Consider the following 20,879-nt stretch of genomic DNA (forward strand, 5'->3'; position numbering starts at 1 on the left):
TGTGCACCTATTATCCCAGCTACTCAGGAGGCTGAGGCAGGAGAATCACTTGAACCCAGGAGGAGGAGGTTGCAGTAAGCCGAGATTGTGCCACTGCACTGCAACCTGGCTGAAGAGCAAGACTCTGTCTCAAAAAAAAAAGACATATGATTAAAATTTGTTAGATATCTACCTGAGGCCTACTGTACATTTTCATTACTCTTCCATTATCAATAGATCAATCTGGTTTGGGCTGTATAACTTCTTTAGAGAATCTGATATTCTACACAGGTGAACTCTAAACTCAACAAAGTGATGATCTACTGTGACCCCAATCATCACTAAGAAACAAAGTTGCTTGCCAATAAATTACTTCTCCAAAGCATTGCATTTAGGGCACTCTCCAAAAGCTATGAAATATCACCACCACATTCTAGCTCTCCAATTTATAAGGTAACTTGATTATTTATTTAAAGAGGGAAAGCAGCAGCATCTTTTTTTTTAATGTTCAAAATAGATCAAACTAAAATAGACTTTTAAAGGGCAAGATAAATTTGACTATTAAATAATAAAATAAATGGCCTCAGCAAATTAAATAGACACTGTTTTCTCAGAAATTTAACAAGATTGGCTATGTTAGGTGGTTTGGGCATTTTCCTGCCATAGGCTCATTTAGTATCTATTGACTGAGAATTTACTAAAAACAAAAAGAAAAGAATATCTTCCTTTGAGGGTGCCCATACTATAATTAGTAAGGAAATATATAAGAAACCACAATGAAAAGTAATTATAAAACTGTTCAGGAGCTAAGGATGGTAGCATATGCCTGTAATCCCAGCTACTCAGGAGGCTGAGGTCAAAGGTTCTCTTGAGCCCAGGAGTTCAAGATCACCCTGAGCAACATACTGCTCATCTCAAATTTAAAAAAAAGAAAAAAAGCCAGGCATGGTGGCTCATGCCTGTAATCCCAGCACTTTGGGAGGCTGAGGCAGGCAGATCACAAGGTCAAGGGATCAAGACCATCCTAGCCAACATGGTAAAACCCCATCTCTACAAAAAATACAAAAATTAGCTGGGCGTGGTGGCATGTGCCTGTAGTCCCAGCCACTTGGGAAGCTGAGGCAGCAGAATCACTTTAACTGGGGAAGCAGAGGTTGCAGTGAGCCGAGATGGTGCCACTGAACTCCAGCCTGGCAACAGAGTGAGACTCCGTCTCAAAAAAAAAAAAAAAAGAAAAGAAAAGAAGAAAAAACCTGTGTATAAAGTAATACATTTAAATCTGTTACACTTAGGTGATATAGCATGAAAAATAAAGGAATGTTCAGCACAGAAATGGATTAGTCAGAAAAGGCTTCTTGGAGTTGCTAACAAACACTAATAAAGAAAAATAAACCTTAAAAGCAAAAGCAGAGGGAAGAAAATAACACATAAAACACAAAGAAAGAATGACTGCAGACTTCTCATCCAAATTATATAAAGAAGAAGACAATGGAAAGATACCTGTAAAGTGCTAAAGGAAAAAAAAAAATTGTAAATCAAGAATTTTATACCTAGCAAACATATCAATCAACAAAGCAAAACCTTAGAAAATTTGTTGTCCGCAGACCCGCACTATAAAAACTGTTAAAGTAAGTTCCTCAGGCAAAAATAATATAAAATCTGTTCAAAATCTGGATCTTCACAAAAGCATAAGGAGCAAATAAACTGGTAAATATATAGGAACATATAAAATATTATTATTATTTTAAAATGTTTTAAAAGATAACATTTAAAAAAAGATTGCTGATTGTTCAAAGCAAAAATAATGATAATGAACTATGGAATTCAAAACACATGTAGAAGTAAAATATAATTAATGATAACTCAAAGATCAATGGGTGAAATGAAAATACACTGTTTTAAGGATTGTATGTTATATACAAACACGTACAATAGCATTTGAAAATACATTGCAATAAGTTAAAGATGCATACTGTAAACCCTAAAGCAACCACTAAAAACAAACAAAACAAAACAAAAAACACTAAGAAGGTATACCTAACAATGGAATCTTTAAAAATATTTGGTTGTTCTAATTCAGTTAAGGAGAATATGAAATGAGAAATAAAGAGAAAAAAAAAGATAAGACAAACAAAAAACAAACAGCAAGATAACAGAGTTAAACCTAGTCATATAGGTAATTGTGTTAACATAAATTATCTCCTCTTATCCTGTTTTCTTTATAATTAATTGAGTATACTTCCATTTCCCCCTTCCTGTATTTAGAGCTATTGTTGTCATTCCTTTGTATAGTACCTTGGTGTTGTTTTGCTGTTTATGTTTATCCTGCTCAAGGAGTTGTTTGAGCTTCTTGAATTTCCATTCCTGTTTTCCAGAGAAAGTCAATTTGAACGTGTTTTTTCTTTTTTTTTTTTTTCTTTTGACAGGGTCTTACTCTGGCACCCAGGCTGGAGTGCACTGGTACGATCTTGGCTCACTGCACACCTCCCAGACTCAAGTGATCCTCCTATCTCAGCCTCACAAGTAGCTGGGACTACAGGTGCGTGCCACCACACCCGGGTAATTTTTGTATTTTTTGGTAGAGATGGGTTTTCACCATGTTGGCCAGGCTGGTCTTGAACTCCTACCTCAAACAATCTGCCCTGCCTCAGCCTCCCAAAGCACTGGGATTGCAGGCATGAGCCATCACACCCAGCCCAATTTGAACTTTTATAAATGTTTCTATTTTTAATTTTTGAGAAGTAAGCCCATATCTTCAAATAATATAATATTGGATGGGTGTGGTGGCTCATACCTGTAAACCCAGCAGCTTGAGAGGCCAAGGCAGGCAGATTGCTTGAGCCCAGGGCTTTGAGACCAACCTGGGCAACATGGTGAAACCTTGTCTCTACAAAAAATACAAAAATTAGCCGGGTGTGGTGGCATGCCTGTAGTACCAGGTACTCGGGAGGCTGTGGTGGGAGGATCACTTGAGCCCAGGAGGTCAAGGCTCCAGTGAGCTGTGATTGTACCCCTGCACTCCAGCATGGGCGACAGAGCGAGCACTTGTCTTAAAAAATTAAAATAATATAAAATAAAAAGATAATATTGCCATTTTCCCTTTATCCATTTTAGATATTGTCTATTTCCTACTATAATTGATCAAAAATTACCTCATGATACCATATCATTCCTTTTCCTCTCCTCTCAATACTTATATACCCCTTTTAGTTTTTCTAAAGATTGCTTTTGTAATATAAATAATATAGTTATGCTTTTGTTTCTTGTATTATTAAAAACAGATTATCTTGATTCCCAACTATGCAAAATGAAGCATTACCTCTCCCTTATTTTCTCTCTTTTTTTTTTTTTTTTTTTTTTTTTGAGACAGAGTCTCACTCTGTTGCCCAGGCTGGAGTGCAGTGGTGTGATCACAGCTCACTGTAGCCCTGACCTCCCAGGCTCAAGCAATCCTCCCACCTCAGCCTCCAGAGTAGCTGAGACTAGAGGCATGTGCCACATCCAGCTAATTTTTTTATTTTTTGTAGAGATGGGGTCTCACTATGTTACGCAGGTTGGTCTCAAACTCCTGGGCTCAACCAATCCTGCCTCAGCCTCCCAAAGTGCTGGGATGACAGGCATGAGCCACCGTGCCTGACCCCCTTACTTTCTCTTTATATCTTTTCCTTACTTTCTCCAACTGTGGAAATGAATTTTACACTGATAGAGTTGATAAACACATATATTTTGTTCTATAATCATAATTGTTTTTCATAGATGGCCCATACTTTGTCTTTGCAAACAAACAAATAACATTTGCATTATTTTAACTATACAAATATTCTTCACTTTTAAGCCAGATCGTATACTAATATTGCCATTCCTTCCTGGCTGGAATCCCTTTGCCTGTAAATCTCTTTCTTGAAATTCTCCTTTCTCCTGCTCCAATCTAAACTGATACTCCCAGCCAGGTGTGGTGGCTCACACCTATAATCCAAGCTCTTTGGGAAGCCAAGGTGGGAGGATTACTTGAGCCCAAGAGTTCAATACCAGCCTGAGCAACATGGTGAGACCCCATCACTACAAAAAAAAAGGGACTTGATAAGGTCCCTTCCATTTAGGAAGAAAAATTTTTAAAAAATTAGCCGGGCATGGTGGCACATGCCTGTAGTCCCAGCTACTTGGAATGCTGAGGCAGGAGGATAGCTTTAGGCCAAGAGTTCAAGGCTGTAGTGAGCTCCAGTACACTCCAGCCAGGGCAACAGAGCAACACCCTCTCTCAAAAAAAAATTTAAAATAAAAATAAATAAATGAATACCTCTCCAGGTCTTCTGCATACCTGTTTATGATATTCTTTCCTGAGGGACTAACAGAACTGCTCAGGCAGTCAGGCGTGGTGGCTCAGGCCTATAATCCCAGCACTTTGGGAGGCTGAGGTGGGTGGATCAGCTGAGGTCAGGAGTTCAAGACCAGCCTGGCTAACATGGTGAAACCCCCCTCTCTACTAAATTACAAAACTTAGCCAGCCATGATGACTGGTGCCTATAATCCCAGCTACTGGGGAGGCTGAGGCGGGAGAATCACTTGAACCCGGGAGGTGGAGGTTGCTGTGAGCCGAGATTGCGCCATTGCACTCCAGCATGGGTGACACAGCAAGACTCCATCTCAAAAAAACAAAAACAAAAACAAAAAACAGAACTGCTCCGGCAACCAGAATCTAAGGGAACAGAACACTGGAGAAGAGGGGAATAGTAAGAATGGGTCTGCCAATATGCTTCAGTCACTTTTTCCCCCTCAAGGTAAGTACCAAATCTCCATTCAAGAGGCTGAAGTTCCCGGGAAAGGGAACAAGCAGAAAGTCAAGACCAAAAGGCAGGAAAATCAGCTTTTGACAGTTTTAGAGAATCCCGGTACCTTAAATTAGAGGCATAAGAGGTTAGAATCCTGAAGAGGAAAGATGGGAAGAATACATAGCACTGTTATTATTTTCTCAACACATTTGCTGAATTCTTAAGCTATACAAAGAGAGAGGTTAAGATAAGCAAAAAGACTCAGAGAAGCCAACAGAATGTTAGGTAGTATTGAGGTATAAAGGAAAGAAAAGAATTAAGGATCTACCAAGGGAAGGGCTCCTAGTCATCACTCCAGGCTCTTTGGAATGTCTGGAGGACAATAGCATTAAGGCAGTAATGAGCCACACCCTAACTAAAGCTGAACCCTAGATTTAGCCAGCTCAGTCGTTGACTGGATTAAATATTGCCATACCATCTGCCTTACCAAAAGTGGGAGCAGAGGGGAGGGACCTTCACTTAAGGAAGAAAACACTATCCAAAACCTCCACAATTTTTTTAATGTCTATTCAGTCCAAAATTACCAAGTGTGCCAAGAGAAGATCACATGACTAAAAATCACATGACTAAAAATCAAGATTCACAGATGATCTAGATATTGAACTTATCAGATAAGAACTTTAAAAATGGCTATGATTAATACCACAAGAAAAAAGGAAAAGAACAAAACACATGAGAAGATGGAGAATTTCACTACAGCCTTACGATTTGTTTTTTTATTATAAAACTGGAGAAAACCCAGAACTGGGTTTTTAAAATTCCGAACTCCATAGATGGTTTACCAGCAAATAAGTCAATTGAAAAAATCCACATTGAGGTTGGGCACAGTGGCTCACACCTGTAATCCCAGCACTTTGGGAGGATGAGGCAAGTGGATCATTTGAGGTTAGGAGGTGGAGATCAGCCTGGCCAACATGGTGAAACTCCATCTCTATCAAAAATAGAAAAATCAGCCGGGCGTAGTGGTGCGCGTCTGTAATCCCAGCTACTCGGGAGGCTGAGGCACAAAAATCGCTTGAAACCGGGAGGCAGAGGTTGCAATGAGCCGAGATCACCACTGCCCTCCAGCTTGGGTGACAGAGTGAGACCCTGTCTCAAAAGAAAAAAAAAAAAAAAAGGAAAAAAAAAATCCACATTGAAGCCCAAAGAGAACAAGGAAAGGACAGGATGTAAAATACAGAAGAATGTAAGAAAAATGAAACATGGGACACCATCAAAAGCCCTCAGCCAGCAGTTCTCAAAATTTTTTGCCTGGCACTATTTTTATGCTCTCAAAAAATATTGGGTTTCCTGGCCGAGTGCGGGGGCTCACGCCTGTAATCCCTGCACTTTGGAAGGCCGAGGCGGGTGTATCACCTGAGGTTAGGAGTTCGAGACAAGACTAGGCAACATGGTGAAACCCCGTCTCTACTAAAAATACAAAAAATTAGCAGGGTGTAGTGCCGGGCGCCTGTAATCCTAGCAACTGGAGAGGCTGAGGCAGGAGAATCGCTTGAAACCGGGAGGCGGAGGTTGCAGTAAACCAAGATCGCGCCATTTCACTCCAACCTGGGCAAAAGAGCAAAACTCGGTCTCAAATATATATTATAATATATATTTCCCTTGGGTTTCCCAAGAACTTTTGTGTATGTGTTATGTTTGTTGACATTAGCCACATTAACAATTGGAACTGGGCCAGGCACAGTGGCTCACGCTTGCAATCCCAACACTTTGGGAGGCGAGGCCGGCGGATTGCTTGAGGCTAAGGAGTTTGAGACCAACCTGGGAAACACGGCAAAACCCCATCTCTACAAAAAATACCAAAAAAGTTAGCTAGGCATGGTGGCATGCACCTGTGGTCCCAGCTACTCAGGAGGCTGAGGTGGGAGTATCACCTAAGCCTGGGAGGTGGAGGTTGCAGTGAGCAGAGATTAGACCACTGCACTCCAGCCTGGGAGACACAGAGACCTTGTTAAAAAAAAAAAAAAAAAAAAAAAAAGACCAAGTCCGGTGGCTCACGCTTATAATTCCAGAACTTTGGGAGGCCGAGGCAGGCGGATCGCCTGAGGTCAGGAGTTCAAGACCAGCCTGGACAATAATGGCGAAACCCCGTCTCCACTAAAAATATAAAAATTAGAGGAGAGTAATGTCATGGGCCTGTAATCCCAGCTACTCGGAAGGCTGAGGCAGGAGAATCACATGAACCCGGGAGGCAGAGGTTACAGTGAGTTGAGATCATGCCACTGCACTCCAGATTCCAGCCTGGGGGCCAGAGTGAGACTCCGTTAAAAAAAAAAAAAAAAAGAAAGAAAGAAAGAAAGAAATTGAAACAGAAGAAAAAAATTACATAAAAGAACATACAAGTATAAATAACATTCACCACTGAAACAATGATATTTTCACATCATGCAGCCTCTAAGAAACTCAATTCTATTCCCCTAGGAGAATGCAAGCTTTTTTTTTTTTTTTTTTTCGAGACAGAGTTTGGCTCTTGTTGCCCAGGCTGGAGTGCAATGGTGCGATCTCGGCTCACTGCAACCTCCGCCTACCGGGTTCAAGCCATTCTCTTGCCGCAGCCTCCCGAGTAGCTGGGATTACAGGCATGCGCTACCACCCCCGGCTAATTTTGTATTTTCTTTCTCCCCGGCTAATTTTGTATTTTGTTTCTCCATGTTGGTCAGGCTGGTCTCAAACTCCAGACCTCAGGTGATCCCCCCGCCTTGGCCTCCCAAAGTGCTGGGATTAGAGGCGTGAGACACTGTGCCCGGCCTAAGCTTTTTTTTTTTTTTTTTAAGTAAATAACATCTAACTGATATTATGAAAATATTTTTAAATCTGTAACTCTCCTGAAAGAAATTTTATCATTGTATAATTGTGCAGAAGCAATACTTAAAGACATCATAGCCAAGTATATCTAAAAACTTATGAAAGATATCAGTCCATAGTTTCAAGCCCTATAAACCCAAAGCATGATGAATGTAAAGAAAACTATACTTGGCCAGCCGTGGTAGTTCACACCTGTAATCCCAGCACCTTAGGAGGCTGAGGCAAGAATATTGCTTGAAGCCAGGAGGTCAAGACCAGCCTGGGCAACAAAGCTAAACCCTGTCTCTACAAAAAAAAATTAGCCAGGCACAGTGGCATGTGCCTATAGTCCCAGCTACTTGGGATTAGACAAGTTCTGGAGATAGGTGGCAGTTTTGGCTACAGAAAAATGTGAATATACTTAATGCCACTGAACTGTACACTTAAAAATGGTTAAAATGGTAAAGTATATGTTATGTATATTTTACTGCAATTTTAAAATAAGGTGAAATACAGACATTATTCATACAAACAAAATAAATGAGTCCTTCACTAAAAGAAATGCTAAAGGGAGTTCTGCATACAAAAGGAAAAGTGACCTCAGAATGAAGCACAGAGATGGAGGAGGAAATGAAGAATCAAACAAAAGAGTAAACATACATGAATGGTGACTCTACGAAATAATAAGGATAATGTTGTGTGGGAACAAAATTACATGTAAAATTAAAATTCATGACAACAGTGTAAGATGTAGGAAAGGATAAATGAAAAAGTGTTACATATTCCTAGCAGTGTCAAGGAAGTGATAAAAATATTAATTTATATTATACTCTGAGTCAAGGATACATGCTGAAATTCTTTGAGTAATGTCTAATAACTAAAAAAGGAAGGGCCAGGCCCAGTGGCTCACACCTGTAATCCCAGCACTTTGGGAGGCCAAGGCGGGCAGATCACCTGAGGTCAGGAATTCGAGACCAGCCTGGCCAACATGGCAAAACTCTGTCTCTACTAAAAATACAAAAATTAGCCGGGTGTGGTGACACGTGCCTGTAATCCCAGCTACTCGAGAGGCTGAGACAGGAGAATTGCTTGAACTCAGGAGGTGGAGGTTGCAGTGAGCCGAGATCGTGCCACTGCACTCCAGCCTGGGCGACAGAGCAAGACTCCATCTCAAAAATAAAATAAAATAAAATAGAAAGAAGAAGAGTCAATAGACAGCCAAAAATAATAAGAATCAAGAATAAGCACTTAGGGAAAAAGAAAAACCAGCAAGTATCAGACTTCTCCACAGCAACATTGAACACCAGAAGACAAGATACTCAAGGAAACAAAACATGAGCCAAGAACTTTAATTTCAACCAAGCTAGCCTTTAAATATAAAGTCTATAGAGCTAAAATTTGAATATACAATAACTCAAAAATTGTTGTTCACATAAGTCCTTCTTAAGGCAACTACTAGAGGAGGAACACAAACCCAACTAGATGACAGGGAAAACTTCAATAAAAAAGAATGTCAATGAAGACTGAATATATTTAACTGCAACTCTAAGACAAAAACAAGGTCAGATTAAAAGTGATCAAGTATGATACATAAAAATAGTACATAAAAATTATACAACTAAGAAAAAAAAGAGAGAAGATAGAAAGTAGAATAAACTAGTCAACTATCTTATACCAGTAACTGTGAGCCAAAGCTAGGCAAATCAACTACAGGTCTACAATCCCTAATCGAAAATCCTTGTAGCAAAATGTTTCATAATACCAAATTCTGTACATTTAAAAAAAATACAGCTCATCTGTCACATATTATGTAACATCCCAGTAAGATCTTAAGCATTCCATAATCAAACACATTCATATTTCAGCAGTAAAATATAGGAATATTCACAAAAGTGGTAAATATAAAGATTATTAATATATTAAGTCAATTCACATCAGGTTTTCTTGCCAAATGAATTAAGGCAGATTTTGACAACAAATAGTTTTTAGAGCCTTTAGGATTTGGGGATTACAAATGAGAGATTATGGGCCAAATCAAGTATGCTTGACTACAAAGTAAAGCACTAAGATAATACTATTCCCTGATATTTAATGCTAAGAGGAAAGAATAACAGAAGAGTACACAAGTTAAGTTTCATTGTTGCCCTTGGGTGAGAAATCAGTAAATATTACCTTCAGAGAGAGACAGAGAGAACTGAGGATGCAATACAAAGGAACCACAAGAACAAAAATACAATTTTTTAAAAATTCAAAGAAAAAAAGGAAGCCATTAGATATGGCTTCATGGTAGTGTCTTCCCCCTCGCCCCCAGAAAAATTATTTGACTTGACACTAAGTTGTTTTTAAATAATGATTATAGTGCTCTTCATTTCCAACTTACTACACTTGGAAGAAACAATTGCTGATGAGCATAAAGTCACTAGGGGGCAGCAGAGCATAAAGAGTATCCTCTGAAAAGTGGTGACAACTACAAAGTTATTACATAACCAGAAGTGTCTTCAACTGCTGAAAACATTTCATACTCATCACAAGCACAATAAAACACTCGCCAATTAATTTGTAAAAATTGCTTCTAAGATATTCATTATATTCTTTATAATTGTTGTAATTTTTATTTTGAAATAATTTCACATTGCACAGAACTCTTGTATAGCCTTTATGCAGAGTTCACTAATTTTTGCCATATTTGTTTTATCATTCTCTCCCTACATATATATGCATGCTTATTTTTCTAAACCATTTGTAAGTAGGCTTCATATATCATGCCTGTAAAACTATAGTCTGTACCTCCTCTCTCTTACATAATGATAGTACCATTATGAAATTCAAGAAATTTACATTGATACAATTATATCTAACCCACAGTCCAAATTCCAATTTTGAAGATTATCCCAATAATGCTCTTTAGAGCATTTTCATTTCCTACTGGAAAGTATCCAGTCTAAGATCATGAATTACATTTTGTGGTCATGTCTCTTCAGTTTCTTTTTATCTAAACAAGCAGCCAAATTTATGGACAAAAGACTACTTTACATTATTAAAAATTACTGAGAGCCTGGATGTGGTAGCTCACATCTGTAATCTCAACATTTTGTGAGGCCAAGGTGGAAGGATCGCTTCAGGCCAGGAATTCAAGCCCAGCCTGGGCAACATGGTGAGACCATATCTCTAAAAAAGAAAGAAAAGAGGAAAAATAAAAATTACTGAGTACCCTAAAGAGCTTTTGCTTATATGAATTATATATATATTAGTATGTGCTATTTTAGATATTAAAACTGAGGAGCGATGTCAGCAAGATGGCAGAATAGGAGTTTCCAACACACATCCCTTCACAGAAACATCAGTTTGAACAAACATCCAAGTACAAAAATATATTCAAAAGAACTAAGGAATCCAGGTAAGAGATCACAGCACCTAGGTAGAATGCAGAAATAAGAAAATATACATTAAAGGGGGTATGAAAGACGGCTTCACATTATCCATGATTCCCTTCCCCCAAGCTCACAAGAGAGACCCTCGCTGGAGGAAAACGAGAATGATATGAGCACCCTACTTCACTGGGGACCCCAGCCCCAGGCCTCCCCAGTGAATTTTGGTGCCAGGCCAGCCGCCATGTACCTAAGCTCCAGGCCAAATCCAACACAAGGACAGCCAGTGACCTAAGGCTCCAGGCCTGCCCCTGCAGGACCAGGCTTAAGGCAAGCTCCAGTGCCAGGATGGCCCCCAAAGCCCCAGGCTTCAGGCCTGCCCAATAGAACCTGGTGCCAGGCAAGTCCCCACAGAAACAGGTTCTAGGCCCAGCCACATGGTACCAGGCACCAGGCTCACCTCCATGGAAAGAGACGCCAAGACTGCCCCATTGCCAGTTAGTCATTGTGGATCCAAGCTTCAGGCCTGCTCCTGCAGACCCCATTGCCAGCCCAACCCAGTAGATCCTTTTACCAGGCTGATCCCCATGACCCCAGAATCCAGGCCCACACACCCAGGCAACAGGACTGATCCTATAAACCCAGGTGCTAGGAATGCCTACCTGCTGACCCAGGGACCAGGCCAGCCTACCCAAGGACTTCAGAAGAAAGCCAACCTATGCACTCGACCAATCAGCCTGTTCAGAGATTCTGAGTAGGCTGACTGGGTGATGGGCTTTCCCTGCCAAAGCCAGCCTGTAAAGACTGGAAGAGGTACCTACATCTTCAAATGCACAACTACCAAACCAAAGCCAGAAGGATCACAAATAAACAGGAAAACCATAATCCCCCCACCCAAGGAACAAAATAAAGCTCCAGTAGCCAGCCCTAAAGAAATGAAGATCTACGAACTGTCTGAAAAAGATTTCAAAATAATCATCCAAAAGAAATGTAGAGAGCTACAAAAGAACCACAGAGAACTATAAAAGAACATGTACAACATGGTAACTATAGTTAATAACATTATTATATTGTATAATTTAAATTTGCTAAGACAGTAGACCTTAGATTTTCTTTTTTTTTTTTTTTTTTTTTTGTGAGACAGGGTCTCACTCTGTTGCCCAGGCTGGAGTGCAGTGGTGCAATCATGACTCACTGCAGCCTCAACCTCCCAGGCTCAGGTGATCCTCCCATGTCAGCCTCTCAAGTAGCTGGGACCACAAGCATAAGCCACCATGCCCAGCTAATTTTTTTCACATTTGTTGTAAAGATGGGATTTCACCATGTTGCTCAGGTTGGTCAGGAACTCCTGGGCTCAAGCAATCCACCTGCCTCAGCCTCCCAAGGTGTTGGGATTACAGGTATGAGCCACCATACCGGGTAGATCTTAAGTTTTCTCACCAAAAAAAAAAAAAAAGGCAACTATGTGAGTTGATGAATATGTTAATTAGCACAATTTTAATAATCATTTCACAATGTGTATATATATCAAAACATCTCATTCTATACCTTAGGTATATACTTTTTAAAATTATACCTCAAGAAAGTCGGAAAAAAAAACTAAAACTGAGAACCTTGAAAATAATTAATTCATTTAAAATTAACAATGAACCCACTACAAGTTAAACAGTATATTTTATACAAATAAAAAACAAATAGTTAAAATAGTTTGTTTTACATTTGTGAAAGTCTCTTTAATGTCGTCTTAACAGAAGACATCTGGATTCTGTAGCCTCTGCATTCAACCTATGGCAATGCGCAGTTTTGGTTAAAGTATATGAAGAAAACTCAGCCTCACAATACATGTAACTGGAAAACTAAAAAGTATTTTCAAAGACTTTTCAGATAATTTTATATAAATATTCTTTGGTATAATTTTAGAATGTGACAAATGATACTTTCTTAAAGTTACAATGTGAAATCTGAAACCACATCAGTAAATTTTTTGTACCTTGTTACATTAAAACCCATTAGTCTATGTTATACTTCAAATGAATATTTCACGTGATTTTGTAACATCAGGCACTGGTCATTTAAAAAATACTGATTCACTGGGTTGTATAGGTTTTCCAAATATTGATATATTTCATTACATAGTATCAAAAAACACATTCATTAATATTATCACCCAGTCTTACAAGAAATGTTTGTAAATACTGGCAATCTTTGGAAGGGCAACAGGCTACCTCAGTGAAAATATGAACTGGTAGCAACAGAAAATTCTGCATATGTAGTCCAAATAATAAGCTGGTGATTCTGTAGAACACAATAATAAAGATGAGCTGAAAATCTAATCATAATAAATAATACTACATTATCACTATCCATCAGAATGGGTGAAATAAAAAATAGTGACAACATCAAATACTGGTGAGAATGAAGAGAAACTACATCACTAATACTTTACTGATGGAAATATAAAACAGTACAGCCAGTTGCAAAAATATTTTTGAAGTTACTAAAAAAACTAAATATACACTTACCATACAGTCCAGCCAACTGCACTCCTGAGCATTTACCCTAGAGAAATGTTAACTTATGTTGAAATATATATACATATAAATCAGTACAGGAATGTTCACAGGAGTTTTATTCATAATAGCCAATGAATGGTTCTTTCTCCTCCTGACAAAAAATATGTAGTATCTTTTTCAACACCAATTCTCTGACACTACTGATGTCTCACAATTCTAATTAATTCTCACACTATCTGCTGGAGTTAGCATCAGACTCCACAGGTTAAGGGCTCAGTCCCATAAAACTGACAAACATCATGCATCAGTCACAAACTAAGTGCCCAGATGTCCCAGATTTTTGCCCAGCCAACTACAAATTCAAGTGTTGCCATGATGCCTCCCCTCCCTACCAGGTTCAATAATTTACTAGAATAATATAGAACTCAGTTAAGCACTTTGCTTACTTACTCTTACTGATTTACTATTGAAGGTATAACTCAGGAGAATCCAAATGGAAGAGGTGCATAGGGAGAGTTATGAGAAAGAGGGGGATGCAAGGAGCTTCCATGTCCCCTTCAGACATGCCACCTTCCCAGCAACTCAATGTGTTCACCAACCTGGAAGCTCTCTGAAACTCCTTATTGTTTAGGAGTTGTTAAGAAGGTTTAATTACATGGGTATGATTGATCAAATCACTGGCCATTGGTGATTGGGGCTCTCTCCCCTCCCTGGAGGTTGGGGGAAGAAGTTGAGTATTCCAACCCTCTAATCAAGGCTTGGTCTTTCTGGCAACTAGCCCCTCCCTCTCCTAAAGCTATCTAGGGCCTCATCAAGAATTATCTCATTAGCATAAACTCAGGTATGGTTGAAAGGAGCTTCTTATGAATAACAAAACATAAACCTATGGCCTTCTCACTTGAGAAATTCCATGCAGTTTAGGAATTCTGTGCCAGAAGTCAGGGTCAAAGACCAAATGCAATTTATTATTATGCCACAGTCCAAAACAAGAAACAGCCCAGGTGTTCAACAGGTAAATGTGGTATAACAATATCATGGAGTACTATTCAGCAAAAAAAGGAATAAACAATTTATGCTCACAACAACAAATGAATCCCCAGAGAATTATGCTGAGATGCTGAGAAAAAGAAAAAAAAATACCAAAAGGTTGTAACATATGACCTCATTTATACAGCAATTTTGTAATGACGGAACTTTAACAATGGAGACAGTGGTTGGCAGAATTAGTGATGGGGAAACAGGGAAGTGGATATGATTATAAAAAGGTACCATAGCAATCATTACAGTGATGAAACAATTCGATATATTGACTGTGGTGGTGAATACACATACCTACATGAGATAAAATTGTACAGGACTAAATATATACACACAAATGCCTATAGTAAAACCATAGAAAACTGAATAATGTAGGTGAATTATATCAATGTCAATATCCTGGTTTGATATTATAGCATTGTTTTGCAAGATGTTACTGAGGGGAATTAAGTAAAGGGTACATGGAGTCTCTCTCTAATTTCTTATAAATTGCATCACTATAGAGCAGGCAATAAAAACATATAGAGATAAATACACATACACACACACATATATACATATACCCTTACATATGTAATTTCTTATAACTGTATGTGAAACTGCAATTATCTCAACAAAAATTTCAATTAAGAAACCAATACTACATATCTAAAAGGAATTCAGAATAATATTTTTATACTTTTAAGGTAATGAAGGCCCTTCTAAGCAAGATATCAAATTCAGAAGCCACAAAGAAAAAGACTGGTCGATTTTACTAAATAAAATGTTAACCTTCTGGCCAGGAGAGGTGGCTCACGCCTATAATCCCAGCACTTTGGGAGGCCAAGACGGGCATACTGTTTTAGCTCAGGAATTCGAGACTAGCCTGGGCAACATGGAGAAACCTCATCTCTACAAACAATACAAAAATTAGCCAGGCATGGGGGCACACACCTGTAGTCCCAGCTACTCATGAGGCTGAGATGGGAGGATCACTTGAGCCCCAGAGGTGGAGGTTGCAGTGAGCTGAGATCGTGCCATGCCACTGCACTCCAGCCTGGGTGAGACAGCCAGGTCTCAAAAAAAAAAAAGTTAAGTTTCTGTATAAGAATTTGCAATATGAATTAGGTGAAAAAATAGACAACAAAATGGGGAGATGTATTTATAAAAGTTAATACAAGATGAATATCTGGGACATAATACATATATAACATACAATATATAACAGTAGTTCCAAAAGGAAAGGAGAGAAAGAGAAAGAAGTTGGAAGAATATTTGAAGACATAATGACCAAAAATTTCCTAAATCTGATGAAGAATATGAATATATACTTCCAGGAAGTTCAACAAACTCCAAGTAGAATAAACTCACAAACATCCACACCAAGGCACATTATAATCAAACTGTCAAAATACAAGACAGGCCGGGAGCAGTGGATCCTGTCTGTAATGCTAGCACTTTGGGAGGCTGAGGTGGTAGGACCACCTGAGGTCAGGAGTTCAAGACCAGCCTGGGCAACATGTTGAAACCCCATCTCTAATAAAAATACAAAAATCAGCCAGGCGTGGTGGCACATGCCTGTAATCCCAGCTACTTGGGAGGCTAAGGCAGGAGAATCGCTTGAACCTGGGAGGCAGAGGTTGCAGTGAGCCAAGATCCTCATGCCACTGCACTCCAGCCTGGGCAACAGAGCGAGACTCTGTCTCAAAAAAAGAAAAACAGACTCTTGAGATTCTTGAAAGCAACAAGAGAGAAGCAACTCATTGTGTATTAAGGATCCTCAATAAGATGAACAGCAAATTTCTCATCAGAAACCATGGAGGCTAGAAGACAGTGAGATAACATATTTAAAATGTTATTTTAAATATTTTTTATTTAAATTTTTTAAATGTTGAAAGGAAAAAAACATTGAGCAAAAATTCATTACCTGGCAAAACTATCCTCTGAAATGAAAAAGAAATTAAGATATCCCCAGATAAACAAAAACTGAGAGACTCTGTCACTAGTAAACCTGACCTTTAGGAAGCACTAAAGCAAGTCCCTCAGGCTGGAAAGAAAAAACACTAAATGGTAACTCAAATCTATACAAAGAAATAAAGAAAACTGTTAAAGGATAACTGCATAGGTAAATACAAAAGTCAGTATTATTGAATTTTTCATTCGTACCTCCTCCTTTTTCCTATATGATTTAAAAGACTGCAAAAAACAATACATATCTCTGTTGATGAGCATACATTGTATAAAGATGTAATTTATAATGACAACAAAAAGGACAAATGGAGCTATATAGTAACAAAGATTTTGTATACTATTGAAACTAAATTGGTATCAAACCAGATATTCATAAATTAAGATGTTAATTGTAACCCCCAGAAAAATCACAAAGAAAATAAGTTAAAATTTATAGTTTATAAATGAATGAATCAAATTGGTACACTAGAAAATACCTATCTAACACAAAATAAGGCAGCAATGGAGAAACCAAGGAACAAAAAATACAGAAGACACACAAAATAAATAGCAAAATGGCAAAAGTAAGTCATTCCTTATCAGTAATTACAATGAATGAAAATGGACTAAACTCTCCAATTAAAAGGCAGAGATTGACATGATAAGCTGTTTTGCTGTCATTTGTTTGTTTTCTTTGACATGATGGACTTTTTAAAAATAGTAACAACATGATCCAACTGTAAGCCATGTATAAAACACTCACTTTAGATCCCAAGATAGAAATAGGTTGGAAGTGAAAGGATGGAAAAAGATATTCTAAGCAAACAATAACCAAAAGATTAACTGAACAAACCAAAGGAGAGCTAAAACTAAACAAAACAAGCTTCAAGACAAAAATAGCTGCAAGAAAAAAGGGACATTATTATTTCTATTTTAGAGGTTCAGAAAACTAGTACTCAAACTCTATTCTGCATACTGCTCCTTCTAGAATAATGTACTGTTTACAATAGAAACAGAATTAACTCTTTGGTGCCTGCATAGGTAGGAACAAATGTGCTGTATACTAGTTACCAAAAAAGTACCATTTCATACACTGGTGAGGAGGCCCTGGTTAATGTTTAGCCTATTTGTGCCAAACAGTTATCCTTTCAGTTCAGGAAAGGGATGTACTAATCTGACAAACACATTCAAGCGAAGGACTACAAATCATGACTAAGATTTGCTATTAGTCATCTCCCATTCTTTCTAAAGACTTCACTCCTTTGGGGTAAAGACTATCATACACAAGTAAAGTTTTTCCCAAAATGTCATGTTTCAGAGGAAAGTTAAGATCACCGAGTTCCAAAATTCGTTTTCTTCAGGGTTATTAATTTTCTAAAAATATAATAGAGCAAACAAATATATTAGTTTTTTTAAAAAAGCAGGATACAACATAACACATGCATGTACCTGTCTGTATGTTAATACAATATTAACATATACAGTGAATATGTCCATATATAGTATGTATAGTATAACATAAATATTACAGTATTTATAAAAACAATAGCTCATGTTTCTTCCATGTTTACTTCTTATAAAGGACTGTTCTAAACATTTTTCACTTATCATCTTGCTAAACCCCAAAACTACACCCATGATACAGGGTGACAGTATTACCTTCATTGTATAAAGAAACTGAATCACAGGCAAGATAAATTGTTTGCCCAAGTTACAAAGCTAGTGAGTAGAGCCATGATTACAGTGAAAGTATAAAAACTCAGAATCCCACACTCATCCATTTCTCTATCTGCCACTGTATTATAAGCATATATATATTATATTATATAAATGTACATATTATAACTTGCTGTCCCCATACAAAATATATATAACATTATGTAACATCATAAATACATTTGTTATACATACACAAATTTTATATATATACACGTGTGCATGTGTGTTTCAACAACATAGAAAACATGTTCAAAATGTAAAAAAAATTATCAAGCAAATATGCTAAAATAATAAGTTTATGAATAGTTTTGCTCCGCTTTAAGTTTTTCTAACTATTGCCATATTTACATCAATAAGCATTATAGTGGCAACTATTTTGGTCAGACCCCAAGCCCCATGCCAATGCTCTCTGGCAAAAGACCACACACTCCACACCCCACAGCCATAAAATTAAACATGGGACTAAGTTTGGGCCAAGCATAACATCCCAGGTCCCAGAACACATAAGAATTAGACTATTGTCTAAGGGGTGGGGAATCAGATCATTTTCCTAAGATTATAATAACTGAAGCTGACAAAAAAAAGAAAGTCCTTTTCCTCTTTGGTCTCAGAGATACAATAGATGCCTAAAGTTGCTGGTGTATGCCCGTTGCTTCATGGGAAAAGTCCATTTTAGTACAAGATGAAGACAACGGAGGGAGAGAAGACACAGAGGTGGGAGGAAAGAGGCAAGTCTGAAAAAGAGAAGAGACCTTCTGGTCAATACAAAAGTCCTTTCTTACAGTCTGACCTAATACCAACTTCACCCTATGTTTTCAGATGCTTGGTATAACTTAAACTTTTTTGTTTAAGTTAATTCACACTGAGTTTCTGTCACTTGCAACCAAAGAGTCCCAACCATTACATGTATTATTTTCATAATCTGGAAAAAAAGGCAAAGAAACAATTCTATGCTGCTTATATCTTTTTAAAAATGATCTGCATAACATTTTGTATTATTAACATATAAACTCCAAAAGAAAAGAAATATAGCTTACTAAACAATAAAAACATACCTACAATACAATGAATTTTCTAAATTTCCAAATGCCCTTATGACAATAAAATCAAAACAAGAAATCATTCCTCTCAGCAGAGCAAAACAGGACTAAAAGAACAAGCTCTAACACTTTATAAAATAACCTGATTATACAAAGATTTTTTCAGCATTTTTTGTTGTTATTGTTCTATTTTTTCCTTCTATTTATCTTCAGAACAGTATAGGTAGAACAAAACTGCATTGAAAAACCTGAAGTATTCTGTGCCCTAAAATATTTTATCTAAATCTTGAAGAGTTGCTATGTACTCTTAGCTGCATTCATGTAACTTGGCAAGCTGTCAAAGGTTTCCTTCAATTCACACTACACACGGCAGATTAGGCAACAGGACATGGAGTAGAACCTAATTCTAAAGTGACTGTTTTTCATTTTAAAATACTACCTTAGGCTATCTGACACCAAATTTCATTGAGTAGATGACAGTATATGATATGCTTGCTTTATCTAAAAAAGAGGAAGTCAGAGTAAATAAAGAATTCAACAGCAGCTATACCAATTCCCTTTACAATGGTATTTCCTCCCCGTGTAATGGCTCAAATTACAGAAAATCTGAGGTTGCTATTAAGCATTAAAAAGGATAAGAAAGTCCTTGTTAGGTTGTTTTTGTAATTGTTACACTAAGGAAAAAAAAACTTTTAAATTGGGTTTTCAGGGGTTTTTATTTTTATTTTGTGCTTACAAGTGATCAAATTCCTAACTAAATTACTACTCCCAATGCTCCTATTAATATAACCATTGGTAGATTAATCTTTCTGTCATAAAGTTCTGGCCATGCTATTCTTCTGTCCCTTGAAAAAGATACCAAGTCCTGAATCCATATTGAAGATTCTAAATAAAATCTAAATTTCTGAGCTCAACAGTCTAGTACTTTCCCAATCTTACCCTAACATTTCTATCCATTTTTTCTTCATACTGTTCCTCTACACAAGGTTTTCTCCTCTCTAAGCAAACCGATTTTTTTTAATCCTATAAACAGTCTAATTGCCAGGATAGACTAGATTATGCTACTATAACAACCAACCTCAAAATTTCAGTGGCTTAAAACAATAAAGATTTCTTTCTGGCTGATGATATGAGTCCATTGTGGGTCAGCAGGAGGCTCTCCTCTACAATGTCCTTACTCTGAGAAGCAGCCAATTATCTAGAGTCAGTAAGCTTTTTCTGTAAATAGCCACAAAGTAAATATTTTCAGCTTTATGGGACATATGGCATCTATCACAACAATTCAATTTTGCTGTTGTAGTGCAAAAGCCACCATAGACAATAAACAAATGAGTATGGCTATGTTTCAATAAAATTGCATTGACAAAAATTGGCAACAGATCGCATGTGGCCTGCATGCCAGTTAGCCAGAGCACTGCAGGTCACTGTGACAGAGGAAAAGCACAGTGAGGAAATAATAGACTCTTAAAACTTCTACTTGGAAGTGACTCATACGACTTAAACTCATATATGATTGGTCAAAACAAATCACATGGCCACAACTAACTTCCAAGGAGAAAGGACATGCAATCATACGTACCTGGAAGGGAAAAAGAAATATTGAGTATATAGGCCAGGCGCAGTGGTTCGCACTTGTAATCCCAGAACTTTGGGAGGCCGAGGTGGGAGGATCATTTGAGG

At 37.7% G+C, this 20,879-nt stretch overlaps 1 protein-coding gene across 11 annotated transcripts in view, besides 2 other annotated features; it reads right to left on the reverse strand.

The window, feature by feature from the left end:
* The window catches only part of EXOC6B (exocyst complex component 6B), a 650,050-nt gene that overhangs the window by 585,064 nt on the left and 44,107 nt on the right, over positions 1 to 20,879 (reverse strand). The gene's annotated exons all lie outside the window — the stretch shown is intronic.
* Positions 10,837 to 11,338: an enhancer, noted in NCBI's record as "H3K4me1 hESC enhancer chr2:72999013-72999514 (GRCh37/hg19 assembly coordinates)". NCBI's record gives its function as "activates a minimal SCP1, AML or CMV promoter by ChIP-STARR-seq in primed H9 embryonic stem cells {active_cell/tissue: H9 hESC(primed)}" and the evidence as "EXISTENCE:reporter gene assay evidence [ECO:0000049][PMID:30033119]".
* Positions 11,339 to 11,838: an enhancer, noted in NCBI's record as "H3K4me1 hESC enhancer chr2:72999515-73000014 (GRCh37/hg19 assembly coordinates)". NCBI's record gives its function as "activates a minimal SCP1, AML or CMV promoter by ChIP-STARR-seq in primed H9 embryonic stem cells {active_cell/tissue: H9 hESC(primed)}" and the evidence as "EXISTENCE:reporter gene assay evidence [ECO:0000049][PMID:30033119]".

The sequence above is a fragment of the Homo sapiens genome, chromosome 2, assembly GCF_000001405.40.
Source record: "Homo sapiens chromosome 2, GRCh38.p14 Primary Assembly".
In the NCBI taxonomy this organism is placed as follows: domain Eukaryota; kingdom Metazoa; phylum Chordata; class Mammalia; order Primates; family Hominidae; genus Homo; species Homo sapiens.